Source organism: Homo sapiens, chromosome 1 (genome assembly GCF_000001405.40).
Source record: "Homo sapiens chromosome 1, GRCh38.p14 Primary Assembly".
In the NCBI taxonomy this organism is placed as follows: Eukaryota; Metazoa; Chordata; class Mammalia; order Primates; family Hominidae; genus Homo; species Homo sapiens.
Genome location: NC_000001.11, coordinates 75,283,575 through 75,303,996, shown reverse-complemented (window position 1 = coordinate 75,303,996; position 20,422 = coordinate 75,283,575). Strand labels below are relative to the sequence as shown.

Below are 20,422 nucleotides of genomic sequence, written 5' to 3'. Positions count from 1 at the left end.
ACTATGTAATTAGATCTTCTACTGAGATATATTTTTTTAATTATTATACTTTAAGTTCTAGGGTACATGTGCACAACCTGCAGGTTTGTTACATATGTATACATGCGCCATGTTGGTGTGCTGCACCCATTAACTCGTCATTTACATTAGGTATATCTTCTAATGCTATCCCTCCCCTCTCCCAGCAGACTTTAATATATTATTTTCCCTGGCCCCAGAATAGAATCTCCAAACACCTTAAGGTGTGAATTATTGAGAAATGCTGTCCCATTGTGGTGAGAGACTGCTGGGGAAATAGTTGGGTGGGGACAGGGTAGTTCCTGATGCTTTAGTGTTTCCTTGGCACCAAAGAATAAAAAATAAATTATAGTGTAAAACCCTATATAGAACCAAAACACCAACTGATGCTAATTCATTAGTGCAAGTAGTGAAAGAGTGTTGGTTTTACTTTTTAAAAAACTTCCGCCGGGTGCGGTGGCTCACGCCCGTAATCCCAGCATTTTGGGAGGCCAAGGTGGGTGGATCACGAGGTCAGGAGTTCGAAACCAGCCTGGCCAATATGGTGAAACCCTGTCTCTACTAAAAATACAAAAATTAGCCGGGCATGGTGGCATATGCCTGTAGTTCCAGTTGCTTGGGAGGCTGAGGCAGGAGAATTGCTTGAACCAGGGAGTCGGAGGTTGCAGTGAGCTGAGATTGCGCCACTGCACTCCAGCCTGGGTGACAGAGCAAGACTCCGGCTCAAAAAACAAACAAACAAACAAAAACCTTCCATTTGGGATCCGCTTCTGCTTCTGTCCTTGTGCTCTGTTCTTTGAAACTGTTAAGTTTCTTTCATTGATCTTCCTAGATGTTTACCTCTACTTGCATTGACTATGTAGCATTATAAATACAAAACCTTATAATAGTATGTAACATAGAGTCATTATGAATACAGTTGTTCTCCCTTATTTGAAGTTTTGCTTTCTGAGGTTTCAGTTATCCGAGGTCATCTGTGGCCATCCGTGATGCACAGAAAATATGAAATAGAAAATTATAGAAATAAATAATTTATGTCTTAAATTGCCCACTGTTCTGAATAGCAGGATAAAATCTCATGCCATCAAACTCTGTCCCACCCAGCATGTGAATCATCTCTTTGTCCACTGTATCCACGTTATCCAGGCCACCTAACCTGCCTGCCCTTTTGCCACTTGCTAGCCATCTTGCTTGTCAGATCAACTGTCTCAGTATCGCAGTGCTTGTGTTCAAGTAACCCTGATTTTACTTTATAATGGCTCCAAAGCACAGGAGTAGTGATGCGGCATATTGTTATAATTTTTCTATTTTATTATTAGTTATTGTTAACTTCTTCATTGTGCTTAATTTATAAAGTAAACTTTATCATAGGTCTGCATGTATAGGAAAAAACAAAATACAGGGTTTGGGGCCATCCGCAGTTCAGGCATTCACTAGGGGTCTTAGAATGCCTCCCTTGCGAATAAGGGGAGACTACTGTATGTGTTATATTATGTATTATTAGAAATGATACAAACATATAACATTATAGATATATAAGGACGGGATGGCAGGCCACCCTGGCTGGTGCTTCTGATTATATCCCTCTCTCCAGCTTCCTGGTAGTTATGATTACACACCAGGGCTTTGAAAAATGCAAGATTTCTAATTAAAGCACATCTATGCTCTAGTTTTTTCTCTCTGAGTTTCTTACCTGTATGCATTTTCTATTCGGTGTTGAGGTATGTAACAACTGCTCTGACAGACTGAGAATCTAATATTAAGAAGGATACGTAAGAATGCAGGTGAAACAGATACCCTGCTCACACCCAAGCGTGTTTTTGCTTACAATGGTTGTTAACCAAAAAAAAAAAAAAAAAAAAAAAACAAAAAAACTAGAGCACCTGCTTTCTTCTCTTGTTATTATTCTCATAATTCTTAAATTCAAATGAAATTAAAAATTCCTGGGTTGAAACTAGATTTAAACAAATGACAGTTTGTTGCTGGTTTGCCCACCAGTTAACTTTCTCTATGAAAGATCCATTTCCTATTCCAAGGTAAAGAATTACAGGAATGTGTGTAATTGATTTTAGATGTAGCTATTTTAAAACCTTGCAGAAAATTACAATCATATTAACATAACTCATAAGTGAAAAAGGTTTGGCGTTGGAGATCTAGATATTTGCCCCCTTCTTTAAGAACCTCTTTCACGTACCTTAAGTAAGCGAACTCACTTTACTACCCATAATAGCCTAAAGATATTCTTAGGAATCTCTCAAGGTTATGTTTCTGAAAGTAATACAAGTATAACAGGCTTTATCAATGTGTGTTTGTTACTGTGCCATTATTATTCATTACTTACCACTTCAAAAAATAAGTGTGTAACTTCAACCTGCCTGTGCTAAAAGATTAGGGCATATCTGTATGCCCTCAAGATCAATAACTTTTACTATGAAAATTCTCATGTGCAACTTTTAATTCTGTCAAATGAGCTGATCTTTTTCTTTACTAACGGAGTCCTCATTAAGTTTCAAATAAAGAATGACAGTATTGCTGCTCACTTTCAAGCCATACCTTTGACCTTCCAAACCACTTATAAGCTGAACAAGATGTAATATTGGGAATAGAAAATACTTTAGTTGAAAACCTTGAGTATCCCTGCTGGATCCTGGCTGGGCTTCTGACCTTTAGCAAATCACTGACTCTCTGTGAGTCAGATTTCCTCTAAACCTACATTTACAATGTGTAGCTTACAGAAATAGCTAGAAAACTTATACTTTTGAGGCATTTTATTTTTAATGCTTTATATACCTTGTTCCTGGAATAGTTACAACTCAGTTCTCCATAGAAAGTTAATGTAGTCAATCCTTTATCTAATAATAGTACCCCTATAATGTGTATGAAGAAAATGAAGAAGAAGAGGGTGGGAAATGGCTATTTTATACCATGTGTGAAGGAGGCATGAAGAAGAAAATCATAAAATCAAATAGCTTATATTACAATTTCAAATAAAAAATGGCTATCTGATGTTGGCATACTCTAATCTTTAAAAATATTTTACAAATAAATAAGAGAGAACAAATACTAAGAGTTCTGAGGGATATTCATTAATCATGGAACTATGGCCCCTCCACGGCTGCTAATGTCTTTGCAGAAATACATCTGATCTACCTTTCAAAATTATTGAATAAAATATGCAATTATGAAATAACATCTCACTATTACTATCTTTTTCTCTCTTCCTTCATTTTGTGCAGGAAACAGGAAGTCATTTGGGACCTCTTTTAATTATTTATTTCTTTTTTTGTCTTTAGGAGTTGTACAGATGTTCTGTGCTGTATGATCTTCCTACTGTGTATTATTGGCTACATTGTTTTAGGACTTGTGGGTGAGTAAATACAGGTATAGAAAATATTTAACACTTGCTAATGGAATAACTAAGTCAGTGTCACATATAAAAAATTAATTATTGTCTTCCAAAAGCCTTCCTATTATTGACTGTTGTCTTTCCTGGAGGAAATGTGCCTCACCAGGATTTATCGGGTAGCAGACAATAAAAAATGAACATAAAACAGTTTAGTCAAAGGCAAGCCCAAATTACTTAAGTAAATACAATTATAAAGCAGAAAGAGAAAAGTTTGTGGTTTCTTTTTAATCATTGTTACTTTTGAAATTCTAATAAGCAACTAATTATGTTCATGTTGTTCTTTGCTAATAAGAACTAGGGCCTAGATCTTTTTAGGTAATACTAAATATATAAACTTTTCTTTTTATAAGCAAATTAAAAAGAAGGAACAATTATTACGAATTTCACCAGATAATTCATTGACATACAAAAAGTTCTAGTCTCTTTGCCCAAGTGATAGCTAGCAAAGATATACTCTGTTATTTATTGTTAGGTTAAAGATTTTTCTATGAAAGTGAAAATAAGAGAAGTATGGAGACTCTTTATTTGAAATTTTTTTTTTTTTTTTTTTTTTTTTTTGAGACAGAGTCTCACTGTGTTCCCAGGCTGGAGTGCAGCGGCGCAATCTCAGCTCACTGCAACCTCCAACTCCCTGGTTCAAATGATTCTCCTGTCTCAGCCTCCCGAGTAGCTGGGATTACAGGCATGCACTACCATGCCCAGCTAATTTTTGTATTTTTTTTTTTTAGTAGAGACAAGGTTTCACCATGTTGGCCAGGATGGTCTTGATCTCCTGACCTCATGATCTGCCCCCCTCGGCCTCCCAAAGTGCTGGGATTACAGGCATGAGCTACTGTGCCTGGCCCATTTGGATTTTTTTTAAACAACTACCAAAGGGACTAGTGTGAATATTTTCTGTAAGAAGGTTTCACAATTGTATATGAATGGATCAAACTTCTTTTTCCCCAGAGACATAGGTTCTGTCCCTTAAATTCTGACTTAGGAAACTTTAATATGTTATTATTAGGGTGAAAGTTGTGAAAGTCAGATATTAGCTAGTACCAATAATTAATGGCATGGAGTCAATGTGGATAGAATGTATTAGCAGAAAGAAAGTTATATCCTAACTGGAGAACAATGAAAAACATTTTTCCCTGCTCTTCAGTTTTATCTTCCAATAAGAGAAATACTTTGAGAACACCAACTGAAAGTCATTTCCAAAAGATAATCTCAATATTGCCATGCAAAAGCTACACAGAATTAGAGAATTCAAAAAATTAAGACAGGAAAATAGGGAGGGAGAGAAAAATAAAGGAGCATAAATCACAAAGCTAAATATATTCTTCTAAGAACTTCAGAACATTCTTTCATTATTTCTTAAAGTGTTTTAACTTCTAAACATTAATGAAGTTGTAGTACAATATGTAATCTCTAGAGTAAATATTATAATAAAATAAATTTTCTTACACAAAATATAGAATTTTGGTTTCTCTCACTTTGGGACACATCTTTCTTATCTGTGTAATTTTTTGTTTGTTTTTACTTTTCATCATAGAATTGAAATGTGTTACATAAGTGAAAGATTTGGAATCAGGCACATCTAGAGTTTCAGCATTTTTTGATGGTCTTGGGTTACTTACTCAACCTCAGTTTTCTTATCTGGAAAGTGTGGAAACATTACCTGCCTTTCAGGGCTGTTGTGAGGAGTAAATGAAATAATACCTAACTGTACCAATAATGCTGCATAACAGTTCTGGGTAGTAGTTTGTTTGCTACCATTGTATAACTGAGTTGTTCTGAATTTTAATAAATTTCTTTTCAATATAATTTACAATATTATTTCCATGGCAACCCATAATTTGGTCTATTAAAGTTTGACTGCACACAGGAACTTCACAAAGATCTCATCCTGTGACCAGAATCTTTCCACTAGGAGGCCTTATTCCTTCATCAAATAGGTCTCTCCTCTGTATCTCGAAGCCAGTCTAATGTAGTCCACAGAAAAATGCTTTGTGTCCTTATATAGAGTGGGAAAACCCACTGCCACTCTTCCGTAGACAAAACAGAGGAGTGTATGCCATTATTTTCTCTGGAGCAAGATAAGAAATTTGCCTTTTTTTCCCAGAACCCCAAATTCAGTTTGTAAATGTCTTAATTCACATAAGGAAATTGGCAGATAAATGTTACTCAATAAAAAACTGTGTTGAGTAGTAAATTAATTCAGTGATGTCTCCAGATTAATCCCAGTGCCACTGATTAAAATTAGTGACTCACAAAGTTTACAAAATATATATACCTTTTTTTTAATCCCTGAACTATATATAGCCTTACTGACTTCATTTCAAGATAAACTTAATTCTTTGATTATATCTAATGTTGGACTAAAAGAAGCATGAGGGGAAACTATGGCAGAGGTTACTAGAAGTGTTAAGGATTTTTTACCATGAAAGAATATATACCTTCATTTGAGCAAATATGATGCTGTCAGTTTCACTGATGTGTTACAGTTATTTTGGTGTCTTTTGCCAACTATATTAGATTAGTGCCTTTGTAGACTTATCTTTCATCCATGATCTTTTCATAAAGAAGTGTTTCCATGGAAGAGACATTTTTGTTGTTGTTGTTGTTGTTTTTGTTTTGTTTTGTTTTTTTACAAAATCTGCTGAGAGAAACTGTTCTTTGCCCTTTATGTGGAATATGGCCAGCTAGGGTAATACTTCAGTGCAACAGAGACACTTAACATTTGATTGATGAACAACAGAACCTTTGTTCAAGTGGATGAAGTGGCGTCTGGGTAGAAGTAATCAAATCTTGAAAGATCAAACTAACCTTTATGGTAATAGCCCTTCTTTGTCCTACTTTGGTGATGGTTACTATTCAATTATTGTACTAATTAGAAAAAAAATAGGAATATTTATTATGCAAATTATTCTTTCCTATACTTATTGCTATCATTAAGTATACAATATAATAGCACAATTTTAACATTCAATAAATTTTTATGGCCAGGTGTGGTGGCAGTGGCTCATGCCTATAACCCCAGCATTTATGGAGGCCAAGGCTGGCTGATAGCTTGAGCTCATGAGTTTGGGACCAGCCTGGGCAACATGGCAAAATCCTGTCCCTACGAGAAATACAAAAATTAGCCAGGTGTCATGGTGTGCTCCTGTAGTCTCAGCTACTCGGGAGGCTGAGTTGGGAGGATGGCTGGAGCCTGGGAGGCAGATGTTGCAGTGAGCCAAGATTATGCCACTGCACCCCAGCCTGGGTGATAGAGCCAGACTTTGTCTCAAAAATAAATAAGTAAATAAATAATTTTAATTTGTTTTCTTTTTAAATTGATTACTCTTTGGGTGATTTAGTTCATTACTGTATTTACTTAGGAAGTGCTTGAAATTAGGATCCAAAGTTTGTTTTGGTTTTGCTTTTTTTAACCTTTCCCAGGGGTAATTATCTCTAGTAGCTGAGAAAGTAAAAAGTTAACAAGAAAGTTAATGCAAACAAGACCAGAACTCTGTCACCATGCTGTAAGAAACTCAAGCTATGTGTAGCAGCTACGTGGAGGAGTCCTGGCCAACAGGCTCAGCTGGGCTCCCAGGGATAATTAGTGTCCACTATCAGCCCAGTTGGGTTTTCTGAAGCCCCAGTCAACACCTGACTGTATGAGAGATCCCAAGGGAGAATTAAGCCTTTCCCCAAATTCCTGACACCCCAAATCATGAGCAAAATAAAAATTTATTATATTAAGCCAGTGAGTTTGGGAGTGCAACAATAGATAAGCAGAACAAAATTTGGTACCTGGAAGTGGGATCCTGGCTTAACAAAACCTACAATACAGGCATTGGTTTTGAGACCAGGTGGTGTTCAGAAACCCCGTGAGTTTTGAGGAGGCTGTCGGTGAGTTTGAAAGAAAATGAGAAAGATGTGATTGGAAGCAGGGGGGCAGGGCACCTCGCTATGTAGTGGTGAAAAGTCTGGCGTCACTGTTGCTGTGGTAATGAGGGATGCAGGAAATGTACCTAATGAATTCAATGATCTAGCTAAAAAAAATTGTCCTCAGGAAAGTAGCTAACCCTGCTGAGCCTTGTCCACACTTGGACCTGACTTAGGTGATGAGATCTAGACCTTAAGCCAGAGCCTGATGAGGTAATTGGATGAAGCTTCTGGGGATCTTGAGAGAAGATAAGTGTATTTACATTTGGAGGGAATATTAAAAAAAAAAAAAAAGAAAAAAAAACTGGCTAGAGGGTGGACAATGGTAGCCTTAATACATGGCTGCAAATTCTTTGTCATTTTTCCCATTGAGAAGTAGGATCTGCAATCCTTTCCCCTTGAATACGGTCAGGCTTGTGATTGCTTCTTTAATAGAGAAATGAACCAAGCCAAAGCACAGCAGTAAAGAGCCTTGACATGCAGATAATTTATAGATCAGTACAAAGGATTAAAGGAATGGCATCATGGCTTGACTGGAGACTGGAGACAGTGGAACTGAAAATACCAAGTAGAGAAAGAAAGAAGTTTACATAATTGCATAAGGCTAAATTTTCATATTCAGCCTTAATCCTTCGTAGAATAAGGTAGAGAATAAACAAAATAGTTAATAATAAAGTAGTCAAAATTTACCTCATCATTTTTGATATTAAACTATATGTTTATTGTTTTGGGGCAATAATACAGTCACATCTATTTTTTCATTTATTACTTAAGGAAATCTAGCACATCACACTCTTTCCTGACTAAACTTTCCCAAAACACCAAGGAGGGAGCAATCTGATTTCCAGTTCCTAGGTGTAGAGACTTTGTATTGTTCTGGAGATCTGACATTTTGGTTGTGCCATTTAGTACATTTCATAGTCCATTGCTCATCTTAATCTTCCCACTACTGTAGTGGCTCCCAATCCAAGACTACTGCTTTTTAAGTCTTTCACCAATATTCAAACATTGGTTCCCAAAGCATGACAAGGGTCAGAATGGCTGCATCCAAACTGGCTTCTTGGTTGATCAGAACCAGCCCTTACTCTTAGGCCCTGCTTTTAAGCCTAGGACCCCAGCCCAGTCTCTTCCTCCATAGTAAGTTCCCTTTGAGGGTATTTTTATCCTTTTTGTCCAGCAAACCTAGTTCAGAGTCAATCTGATCTATCCTAAATTAAAATCTCAGGGAGAAAAGTTTGAGGTCTTATCTCTTCCTTCTCTTAAAGCAAGTTAGTCTTCCTCTATCCCAATAAACATGAGGAAGGAAGAAAGCATATTTTCATAACTAAGAGAAGTCACTCAAGTGACCTTCTGAAGAACAAAGATAATTCCAAGATGACTTTTTCATTCTGTCCATACAAAGAAGCAGTGAACAGTTTCTCTTACTAATAAACACATAAATATACATTTTTAATTTAATTTAATTTTTTAGCTTTATGAGCTATGATTGACACATTTTAAAAAGTATATATTTAAGGTGTACAACCTGGTATTTTAGTATATGTATATCTTGTGTAATGATCTCCACAGTCAGGCTAACAGATATATCACCTCACGTAGTTACTTTTGTTTGTAAGTGAGTTTTAGTTTGGAAAGAACAGTTAAGATATATTCTCTTAGCAAATTTCAAGAATAAAATACATCATTAACTGTAGTTAATGCTGTAAATCAGATCTCTAGAACTTATTCATCTTATAACTGAAAGTTCTTACTTTTTATCCATTATCTCCTAATTTCTCCCACACCCCCAGATCCTGGCACCTACCGTTCTGCTCTCTGCTTCTATGAGTTGGAGTATTTTAGATTTCACATATAAAGGAGATCACGCAATACTTTTCTTCTATGTCTTGTTTATTTCACTTAGCATAATGTCCTCTAGGTTCACTCATGCTGTCACAACTTGGCAGGATTTTCTTCTTTTTTAAGGCTTGAAAATATTCCATTTTGTGTGTATATGTGTATGTATGTATACATACACACACACATACACAAGCACACATACACTATAATTTCTTAATCCATTCAACTATTGATCGATACTTAAATTGATTCCAAATCTTGGCTATTGTGAATAATGCTGCAATGAACATGGGAGTACAGATATCTCTTCAACATACTGAGTTCAAATCTTTTGGGTAAATACCCAGATGTGGGATTGCTGGATCATATGATAATTCTATTTTTAATTTTTTGAGTGACCTCCATGCTATCATTCGTAATGGCTATACTAATTTACATTCCTACTAACAGTGTACAAGAATTCCTTTTTTCTCCACATCTCCTCAACACTTATCTCTTGTCTTTTTTATAATAACCATCTGTACCTCACTAGGCATCCTGTTGTTCTAATTTGGGAACTTGGTGGTGTGACCACAATATTCATTGCAAGAGGAAACTGGCAATTGGCAATGAGTATAACTGGAAATTACATTGTGCTGTTAATCTACTTTTGGAAATAAGTGAACCTATCAGATCACAGCTTGGAAACATTGTTTTAGCCAAGTAAAATCATATCTCCCAATTAAAAAGTAAGAATTTTTAGAAATTCCAGTTCTATTGTTTTTTAAATTGTTCCAGGAACCTTTTCTTAATGAAAAATGTTATCATTGTATTTATAACCAGAATTAGTATTAAATGTCCTTTTGCATTTTTTACAAATATATAAATATTTACAAATTAAATTACAAACCTATATACTTCCTTTTATTTTGGAAGTCTTCATTTTAAAAAGAAAGCATTTAGTTTTCACTGTTACTTGAGCAGATATTTTAGTATTGAGTGAGTTTTTTACTGTTTACTTTGTTGAGTGCATTCATGGTAGATGATTTTAAGTGGAGTATTGTTATCATGAGAGGGATTGATTTGTGCTCAAGGACATGACCCTAAACTCACCATTGGGTAGAAGAGGCCACCTGTGAAATGACAAACAACATTTTTCTTATCTAAGCAACAAGATACAGGACTGCTTCCAAAAATGTTTCTATAGCAGCGGTGTCATCAACACAGATTTTCAAATTTGGTATCATGTGTCCTATTATCTGCTTCATTGCATTTGTAAATTGCTTGTGTTAAAAAGCCATAAGCACAATTTGGCCGGCCTGTTCCTCACATATTAAAACAGTTAAAATGTACCTTTAAGGGATACAAAGTAATGATTCGAAAGCCAACATTCCCAACCAGCAAGTGTTTAGGGAATGCCTCCCCTGCCCCAAACAGATATGCAGTTAATTTTTAAGTGTCGGTGCAAGCAGTTGGTCTAATCACATTTTCTCCTTGACAGAGGGCTTTTAAATGGCTGCAACTCCTGACTCAACCCTAGAGCACAACAAGAACATGCTTTGCAAATGTTTGAAAATGAGAGATAATGTTAGATCATAATACTCGCTCCTGGTACTTCAGAAACATGCATTTCCTCGATATGAGTGAAAAGATAATTTGCCTGAATAAATTTTTCACCATCTCTTGCCAATCTTTGGTTATCTGCTATGAATTTCCCTAATAGAATTCTTTTACAAATAATTTCTCTTCTCTCTTCTCTTTCTGTTTTATGCACACATGAAGCACATGTGCACCTGCACAAACGTGAGTCAGCTTCACTTAAAGTGGTGTTTTAAAGTTATTCTAAAACAGTGAGATAATGAAGAAAAAAGATGATTGAACCAGATTTGTGTTGGTTTTATTCACCAACGTAACCCAAGTAATTTAATTCTAGAGCCTGTGCTCTTGAACACTACACTATACTGTATTTTATTTAATAAAAACAATAAATGAGGAATAAGTAATGAAAGTTACAGAGAGAGGGGTAGACCAGAACCCCATGATCTTCAACTAATACTTTTCTCTTCCTCCTTCACCTCCTGCCTCCTCTAATTCCACACTGAGTTGGGCTTAAAACAGCGAGTATCCAAGAACAGTTTGGGGGATAAATGAAAGGCAGGTATTCTTCTGCAAAGATCATCAACAATCTATTATCTTCAGTCTTGCCCCTCTGAGACTGATATGGGTCACTTTGCTGCAGTGCCATTGTCAATCTTCAGTAATTAAAAAAATTAGTCTCTATTTTGTATAGACTAAAAAGGGGAGTGTATTCTTTATCATAATCCACACCTAAATAGTTGGTTTTCTTTCCTTCAGTTAATGTTTGTACTATGGAGTAAATAAAATTATTGTAGGCAATATTTCATTCTTTGGCCAGAAAAACCTCAAAGGATTTCATGGGTCTCCCAAAAAAGTGTTATTTACTAGTAGATGTTAATGAGTATTACATGTAACATTTTCAGATACAATACATTGTATCGATTTTTAGGAACCATGAGAGCTGCTTCATATAAAGCAAGAAGATGTGGCTAATTATAGAAGCACAGTTAAGCAAGTAAAGACAAGACCAGAAACACTGAATAGGGGGTGGCCTAGACCTCGTCCAGGAAAATTTGAATAGGAAGATAAGGACCTGCCTGAACAGAACCTTTACCAGGGAATTCACAGCTGACACTAACAACTAAAAAAAATCTCCCTGTAGTTCATCATAGAAAATCCTAAGATGCTAACTCTCCATCCATATCTGAAATTACGCTTTACCCTGCTTTCTTTTCTTTTCTTTTTTTTTTTTTGAGACAGAGTCTCGCTCTGTCACCCAGGCTGGAGTGCAGTGGCGCGATCTCGGCTCACTGCAAGCTCCACTTCCCGGGTTCACGCCATTCTCCTGCCTCAGCCTCCCAAGTAGCTGGGACTACAGGTGCCCGCCACCACGCCTGGCTAATTTTTTGTATTTTTTAGTAGAAACGGGGTTTCACCATGTTAGCCAGGATGGTCTCGATCTCCTGAACTCGTGATCCACCCGCCTTGGCCTCCCAAAGTGCTGGGATTACAGGTGTGAGCCAACGTGCCCGGCCTACCCTGCTTTCTGTGTAAGCACCACACTGGTCTCCTTTCTGTCCTCAGTACCCATCACACTCCCACCCCTCACAGGCCCTTTGTCCATGTTGTTCATCTGCTGGAAGCCTTTTGGGCCTCTATTCGTTTTTGAGGTCTCAGCTCCTGAATCACTTCTTCAGAAACATCATCCCTGACCTCCGTCATGTGATCATCTGCCTCTGTGAATCATGTTATTCATGATTCCTTTGTAGCACGTGTCAGAATTGGAATTTTACATTTATTTGTGCAGTTAATTCATTAAAATCTATTTCTCCCAACAGACTGTAGGCTTTGGGAGAGCAAGGACCATTATATTCCCAGGTTCTAGGTTGGTGCTGACACAGAGGAAGCACTTTAAACAATATTTGTAGAATGAACGAAGAAATTATTTGTACAATGAATGAAGGAAAAAAACCCATAAACTCTCGTCCTCATTATTTCAAATACTTCCTTACCTTTAAAATGAAAATGAAAAACCTATCTTCTAATGTGAATCAAAATCTTAAATAAAATCTTGAATAGTGGTGGTCTAGCATTGACTTAGAATAATCAGAAACATAAGTGTATTAAAGTAATCAGCAAAAAGTCAAATGCAAACAAACAAAAAAAACCCACAGGTGTTATAAAAAGCCTACTTTCATTTCTTGGTAATTTGGTTGTTTTTCTGTTTTCTTCAATTCTGTGTCTATTTTCTGCAAACCTGTTTTAAGGATATGCTTTGTCCCATCTTTTACATCCTACTCTCCTTCCAATTCATAGACCTTGAAATTTGGGTGTATCTTCTTGCTCTTTGCTATTGCTGTTTCATGTAGCAGTAAATTCTGATTAAAGAAAGTCTGAAAACCTTATATATTTTTTAAATGAAGTGCTGAATGTCTTGCTGTATATATCTGAAGTCCCACTCTTTAATAGGCTGGTCACTTGTTCAGAATATGGGCTGGGCGTTTTTCATTTTCCCCTCCAAATCTTTTCCTTATTCTCCTCATCCTGCTCTGTCCCCTGGGAATCTGGCATTTATGGGTTACAGCAAGTGGCTCTCTTGTCCTCTGGCTTCCAATTTTGTGAGATTGGAGGGTAGGAGCATGAGTTTGTAGAATTTCTTCCTTTGACTCTCTTGCTGATGGGTCACAACAGTTTGGCTACACCTCTCTAAGGCTCCTGCTCCTGTCAGTGCTGTCAGTGAGCTCTCTCCATTCAGCTTCTTCTCCTGGGTTTGGGTTACTTCTTCTGGGCCTCTTCAGGCCTAGGGGTGGAAACTGCTCCCTATTGGTGCCAATCTCTGGGTTCTACATCAACTCCTGCTTATTTCCCTTCACGCTGTTCATACCTTTATAAATATCTTCTTTATTAAACTCTACTCAATTATTCTATATGAGTTTAACATCTGTCTTCTGCTAGGATCCTGCCATGCTCCAGAAAACAGCTCCCCAGCCTCGAAGGGCATTGTTTCCTACAAGGGGATATAACTGGCTCATCAGGGGGTTATTCTACTGTTCCATTATGCCAGCTACTTCTGGGTGAATGGGGTTCAGTGTTGGTCATCTATGCTGATAAATTTGTTGCGTACACATTGTTAGAAGCCAGGTCATCTTTTGTGAGTACAAGTCCATGTTATCAAAACCCACACATAATCTTCATCCCTGTTATCATGGTTACTTTATTACAAAATCATTGAATGAGTGGTTTCCATCTTGATTATTGAAAACTACCTCTACAGAAGGGGCTTCACTAAGCAGCTACGTGAGACAAACGTATCTTCAAATTCTGGGTCCATTTAGAGGTCAACCCTTGTAGTTATTTCTCAAACTTCCTGGCCATTGATTGTCTAATATTTTTCTTTTGTAGTCCATGACAATGTAGCCAAATCATTGGCCTCTATCTATGAATAGATTAAATGATTCAGATCTTCTACTCTTTCGGTCAAAGTAGACAACCAGAAAAATTTACCCTAGTCAATGCTAAGAGATCCTCCACAGCCGTCTATAAATCTGGTTTAATTTTTTTTCTTCAGTCAGTTGATCAAAGGTACCTTTCCATGATTAAATTTCCATGATCAAAGGGACTTTTTCATGTATGTGTTTCTTTAACACATGCCTATTGGCATCAGAAGTTAATATATTACTATTGTAAGAATTCTTCTTATGTAACTTTCTTGAGCTTTATGACCTTCTGAAGCGTTGTAGGAATGTCATATCCATTGGGAATGGAGTACTTCTGGGCACAACCACCTCTAGGCTTGATGGACCAAATAGTACCCTTTAAACATTATGATGGGAAGCTCATGTCATTGGGTGTTCATTCAGGGCCAAGGGGCTATTTCTCAAAAGAAGAATAGTTATTTTCTGAAAAAAACATGGATTTTCTTCAACACCCTAGAGACCTCTACTGTGACTCTCTAATAGAGATTTGCCACAGGCCCCATAAACTATCTTGTTCTCTGACAGGTATTTTAGACCCAGTGACACACCTCTTTGTAAAGCAGCCTGGATTATCTGAAAAGTATTTTATTTCTCTGAGCTCTACTCAAATCTGACAACTAATAAGTATTGCACCCCTTTTAATAGCAGAAAATGTAAGACGCAGTAACTTATCTTTAATTATGGAGAAGATATAACTACTGGACCCCTCAGGAACTTTAATGAGGTGGAAGACTCCTGTATTGTCATATTTTTCTCCTATCCATTAGCACACGTGTGTCTTTATAAGGCATCAAGATTATATGCTAACCACTATTCCCCAGATCTTATCAGCATGATGCTATGAATATAAGGAAATCTGTGTGGCATCCTGTGGAATAAGGATATTATCAAAACCCTGTAGCCTAAATTGTGGCAAAGAGCTAGAAGGTCATATAACCTTGAGGGAAGAAAGTGAAGATGCAGTACTGTCCTTACCAGGTAAAAGCAAATGCCCTGAAGGTTATCCACTTATCGGAAAAAGGAGAAAGCATTTGTTTGATCTAGTGCTGCATCCAAAGTGACAGAGGCTGTTTTGATTTGTTCTAGCATAGAGACAACAACTTGAAGAGCAGCTGAAATTAAGGCGATGACTTGGTTGAGCTTAAGAGAATACACTAACAATCTTCAGAACCTGTCTTCCCTCTGCACTGCCAATCAGTATCATATATAGTTTCTCTAGGAAGAATGTGTTGAGAAATAGTATTATACTAAATATGAGATGTATTCATCTCTATATCTTCAGAGTTTATGTGTGCCTATATCATTCATTCATTCATGACCAAATAAATAGAAATGTGACAATTGACAATTCAGTATGAATGAATGAATGAAAAGGAGTTTGATCATATTCTAGACTGGAATTTTAACATAAAGTTTTTCATGTTTACTTTAAGAACTAAGGTAAATAGATGTCAGATACTGTGTAATAGTTTAGGTCTTAAGGAATATTTTAAATCAAGTTTAGGATTCCATGTGTTAAATCATACAGTGAGGACTGAAAAATACCAAAATCCTAGAAAGTGTAGCTATAAGCTTAACACATAATAAATTAAATAGAAAAGATGTTTCCTAATTATTATGAATATTTAATTTGAAAAAAGAAAGATGGTGAAATTATTTCCTTCAAATATAAAAGTTTTTTTTGGGCTTGCTGCTGAGGCTCTGTGAGACAGCCGAAAACCTTTGAAGACAAAGGACACAACCTCTTGGAAGCTCCATGGCCCCATCCAGCTCCTGAGAAACCTGAATACTTATCCACACAACCCTAGAGCAAGCTTGTATCCTTCCTATACATGCTGTCTTGAAAGCATCACCTCCTGGCTGGAGGCCAACACAAAATAAGGGCAGTAAATAAATCTACAACCAAGGACCCTCACAGAGTACACTTCACTCCCTTACTACCTCTGCCAGAGTAGGTGCTGGTATTCACGGCTGAGACACCTAAAGATGGATCACATCACAGAACTGTTCATAGACACTCCCCAGTAGCAGCGCACAGCCCTTTAGTTCCACTGGGTGGCTAGACTCAGAAGAGAAATAACACCTACTGCAGTTTGGCTCTCAGGATGCCCCATCCCTTGGGGAAGGAGAAGAGCACCACATCAAGGAAGCACCCTGTGAGATAAAATAATCTGAACAGCGGCCCTTGAGCCCCAGATCTTCCCCCTGACATAGTCTACCCAAATGAGAAGGAACCAGAAAAACAATTCTAGTAATATGACAAAACAAGGTTTTTTAGTACCCCCAAAAGATCACACTAACTCACCAGCAATGGATCCAAACCAAGTCTTTGAATTGCCAAAAAAAAAAAAAAAAAAAAAAAGAATTCAGAAGGTCAATTATTAAGCTTCTCAAGAAGGCACCAGAGAAAGGTGAATACCAACTTACAGAAATGAAAAAAAGTTACAGAATATGAACAGAAAAATCTCCAGAGAAATAGACAGCATAAATAAAAAACAATCACAACTTCTGGAAATGAAGAACACACTTAGAGAAATACAAAATACCTGGAAATTCTCAACAGCAGAATTGAAAAAGTAGAAGAAAGAGCTTCAGAGCTCAAAGACAAGGCTTTCATATTAACCCAATCCAACAAAGACAGAAAAATAATTAAAAAAAAACAAAGCCTCCAAAAAGTTTGGGATTATGATAAACAACCAAATTTAAGAATAATTTGTGTTCACAAGGAAGAAGAGAAATCTAAAAGTTTGGATAACATATTTGAGGGACTAATCGAGGAAAACTTCCCTGCCCTTGCTAGAGATATAGACATCTGAATACAGGAAGCTCAAAGAACAACCGGGAAATTCATCACAAAAAGATCATCATATACATCAGGTTATCTAAAGTCAAGACAAAGGAAAGAATTTCAAGAGCTGTGAGGCAAAAGCATCAGGTAACCTATAAAGGAAAACCTATCATATTAACAGGAGATTCCTCAGCAGAAACCCTGCAAGCTAGAAAGGATTGGAGTCCTATCTTTAGGCTCCTTAAACAAAACCAGCAAAACCAAGTTTCATAAATGAAAAAAAAAGATACAAGCTTTTTCAGACAAATAAGTGCTGAGAGAATTTCTCACTACCAAGCCAGCATGACAAGAACTGCTCAAAGGAGCTCTAAATCTTGAAACGAATCCTCAAAATACACCAAAATAGCACCTCCTTAAAGCATAAATCTCAACGGACCTATAAAACAATAACACAATGAAAAAAATCAAGGTATTTAGGCAACAACTATCATGATGAATAGAATAGTACCTCACTTTTCAATACTAACATTGAATGTAAATGATGTAAATGCTCCACTTAAAAGATTTGGATTGGCGGAATGGACAAGAATTCACGAACGAACTATCTGCTATCTTCAAGAGACTCACCTGACAGATAAGGACTCACATGAACTTAAGGTAAAGGGGTGGAAAAAGATATTCCATGAAAATGAACACCAAAATCAAGCAAGAGTAGCTATTCTTATATCAAATAAAACAGACATTAAAGTGACCACAGTTTAAAAAGACAAAGAGGGATATTATATAATGATAAAAGAACTAGTCCAACAGGAAAATATCACAATTCTAAATATGTATGCACCTAACTCTAGAGCTCCCTAATTTATAAAACTATTACTACTAGACCTGAGAAATGAATTAGATGGCAACATAATAATAGTGGGGGATTTCAACCCTCCACTGACAGCACGAAACAGGTCATCAAGACAAAAAGTCAAAAAGCAACAATGGACTTAAACTATATCCTAGAACAAATGGACTCAACAGATATTTACAGAAAATTCTACCCAACAACTGCAGAATATATGTTCTATTCCACAGCACATGGAACATTCTCCAAGATAGACCATACGATAGGCCACAAAACAAGTCTCAATAAATTTAAGAAAATCAAAATTATATCTAGTACTCCCTCAAACCACAGTAGAATAAAATCAGAAATGAACTCATAAAGGAACTCTCAAAACCATGCAAATACATGGAAATTAAATAACCTGCTCCTGAATTATTATTGGGTCAACAATAAAATCAAGATAGAAATTTAAAAAATTATTTGAACTGTACGAAAATAGTGACACAACCTAATGAAACCTCTGGGATACAGCAAAAGTGGTGCTAAGATGACTCTTCATAGCATTAAATGCTGACATCAAAAAGTCTGAAAGAGCACAAATAGACAACCTAAGTCACACCTCAAGGAACCAGAGAAACAAGAACAAACCAAACCCAAACCCAGTAGAAGAAAAGAAATAACATCAGAGAAGAACTAAATAAAATTGAAACACAAAAAAAATGATAAATGAAACAAAATGCTGGTTCTTTGAAAAGATAAACAAAATTGATAGACCATTAGTGAGATTAATCAAGAAGAGAGAAGATCCAATTAGAAACAAAATGGGAGAATTACAACCAATATCACAGAAATACAAAAGATTATTTAAGGCTACGATGAACACCTGTATATGCACAAACTAGAAAACCTAGAGGAGATGGATAAATTCCTGGAAATATACAACCCTCCTAGATTAAACCAGGAAGAAATAGAAACTCTGAACAGACCAACAAGATTGAAATGATAATTTTAAAATTGCCAACAACAAAAAAGTCCAGGACCAGACAGATTCACAGATGAATCTATCAGACATTCAAAGAAAAAGTTGTACCAATCCTATAGACACTATTCCAAAAGATAAAGAGGGAACCTTCTAAATCGTTTTATGAAGCCAGTATCACCCTAATGCCAAAACTGGGAAAGAACATAACACACACAAAAAATCTATAGACCAATATTCCTGATGAACACAGATGCAAAAATCCTCAACAAAACACTGACTAACTGAATCCAACAGCACATCAAAACAATAATACATTATGATCAAATGGGTTTCATACCAGAGATTCAGGGATGATTTAACATATGCAAGTCAATAAATGTGATACATCACATAAACAGATTTAAAAACAAAAATTGTATGATCATCTCAATAGACACAGGAAAAGCATTTGATAAAATTCAGCATTCCTTTAGTATTAAGGCCCTCAGCAAAATTGGCATATAAGGGACACACCTTAAGGTAATAAAAGCCATTTATGAAAAACGCACAGCCAACATTATACTAAACTGGGAAAAGTTTAAACCATTCCCCCTGAGAACTGAAACAAGACAAGGATGCTTGCTTTCAACACTTCTATTCAATGTAGTACTAGAAGTCCTAGCCAGAGTAACCAGACAACATTAATAATAAAGGGCATTCAAATCAGTAAAGAGGAAGTCAAACTGTCATTGTTCACCAATGATATGATTGTCTACCTAGAAAACCCTAAAGACTCATCCAAAAAGCTGCTAGAACTGATAAATAAATTCAGTATAAATAAAGAAAGTTTCAGGATACAAAATCAATGTACACAAATTAGTAGCACTGCTATACACAAAGTGACCAAACTGAGAATCAAATCAAGAACTCAATCCCTTTTATAATAACTGCAAAACAAAAACAAAATACTTAGGAATATACCAAACCAAGGAGGTGACACATCGCTACACAGAAAACTACAAAACACTGCTGAAAGAAATCATAGATGACAGAAACAAATGGAAACACATACCATGCCCATGGGTGGGTAGAATCAATATTGTGAAAATGACCATACTGCTGAAAACAATGTACAGATTAGGCCATTTCACATCAAAATACCATTATTCTTCACAGAAGTCGAAAAAACAATCTTAAAATTCATATGGAATCAAAAAGGAGCCTGCATAACCAAAGCAAGAGTAAGCAAAAAGAACAAATCTGAAGGGATCACAGATCACATCACCCAACTTCAAACTATACTATAAGGCCATAGTCACCAAAACAGCATTGTACTGCTATAAAAATAGGCACATAGCCCAATGGGGCAGAATAGAAAACCCAGAAATAAAGCCAAATACTTACAGCCAACTGATCTTCGACAAAGCAAACAAAAAAAAAAGTAGGGAAAGGAAATCCTGCTCAACAAATGGTGCTGGGATAATTGGTAAGCCACATGTAGAAGAATAAAACTGGATCTTCATCTCTCACCTTATACAAAAATCAACTGAAGATGAATCAAAGATTTAAATCTAAGACCTGAAACCATAAAAATTCTAGAATATAACATCAGAAAAACTCTTCTGGACATTGG

General features: G+C 36.3%; 1 protein-coding gene across 13 annotated transcripts in view; it reads left to right on the top strand.

Annotated features, from left to right (window-relative positions):
* Positions 1-20,422, top strand: part of SLC44A5 (solute carrier family 44 member 5) — a 521,887-nt gene that overhangs the window by 420,019 nt on the left and 81,446 nt on the right. For all 13 annotated transcript variants that reach the window (XM_047449166.1, XM_017000608.2, NM_001130058.2 and 10 more), the window contains one exon: positions 3,312-3,385. In XM_047449166.1, the coding sequence (XP_047305122.1) occupies positions 3,312-3,385 (74 nt within the window). The remainder of the gene's footprint in view (positions 1-3,311; positions 3,386-20,422) is intronic.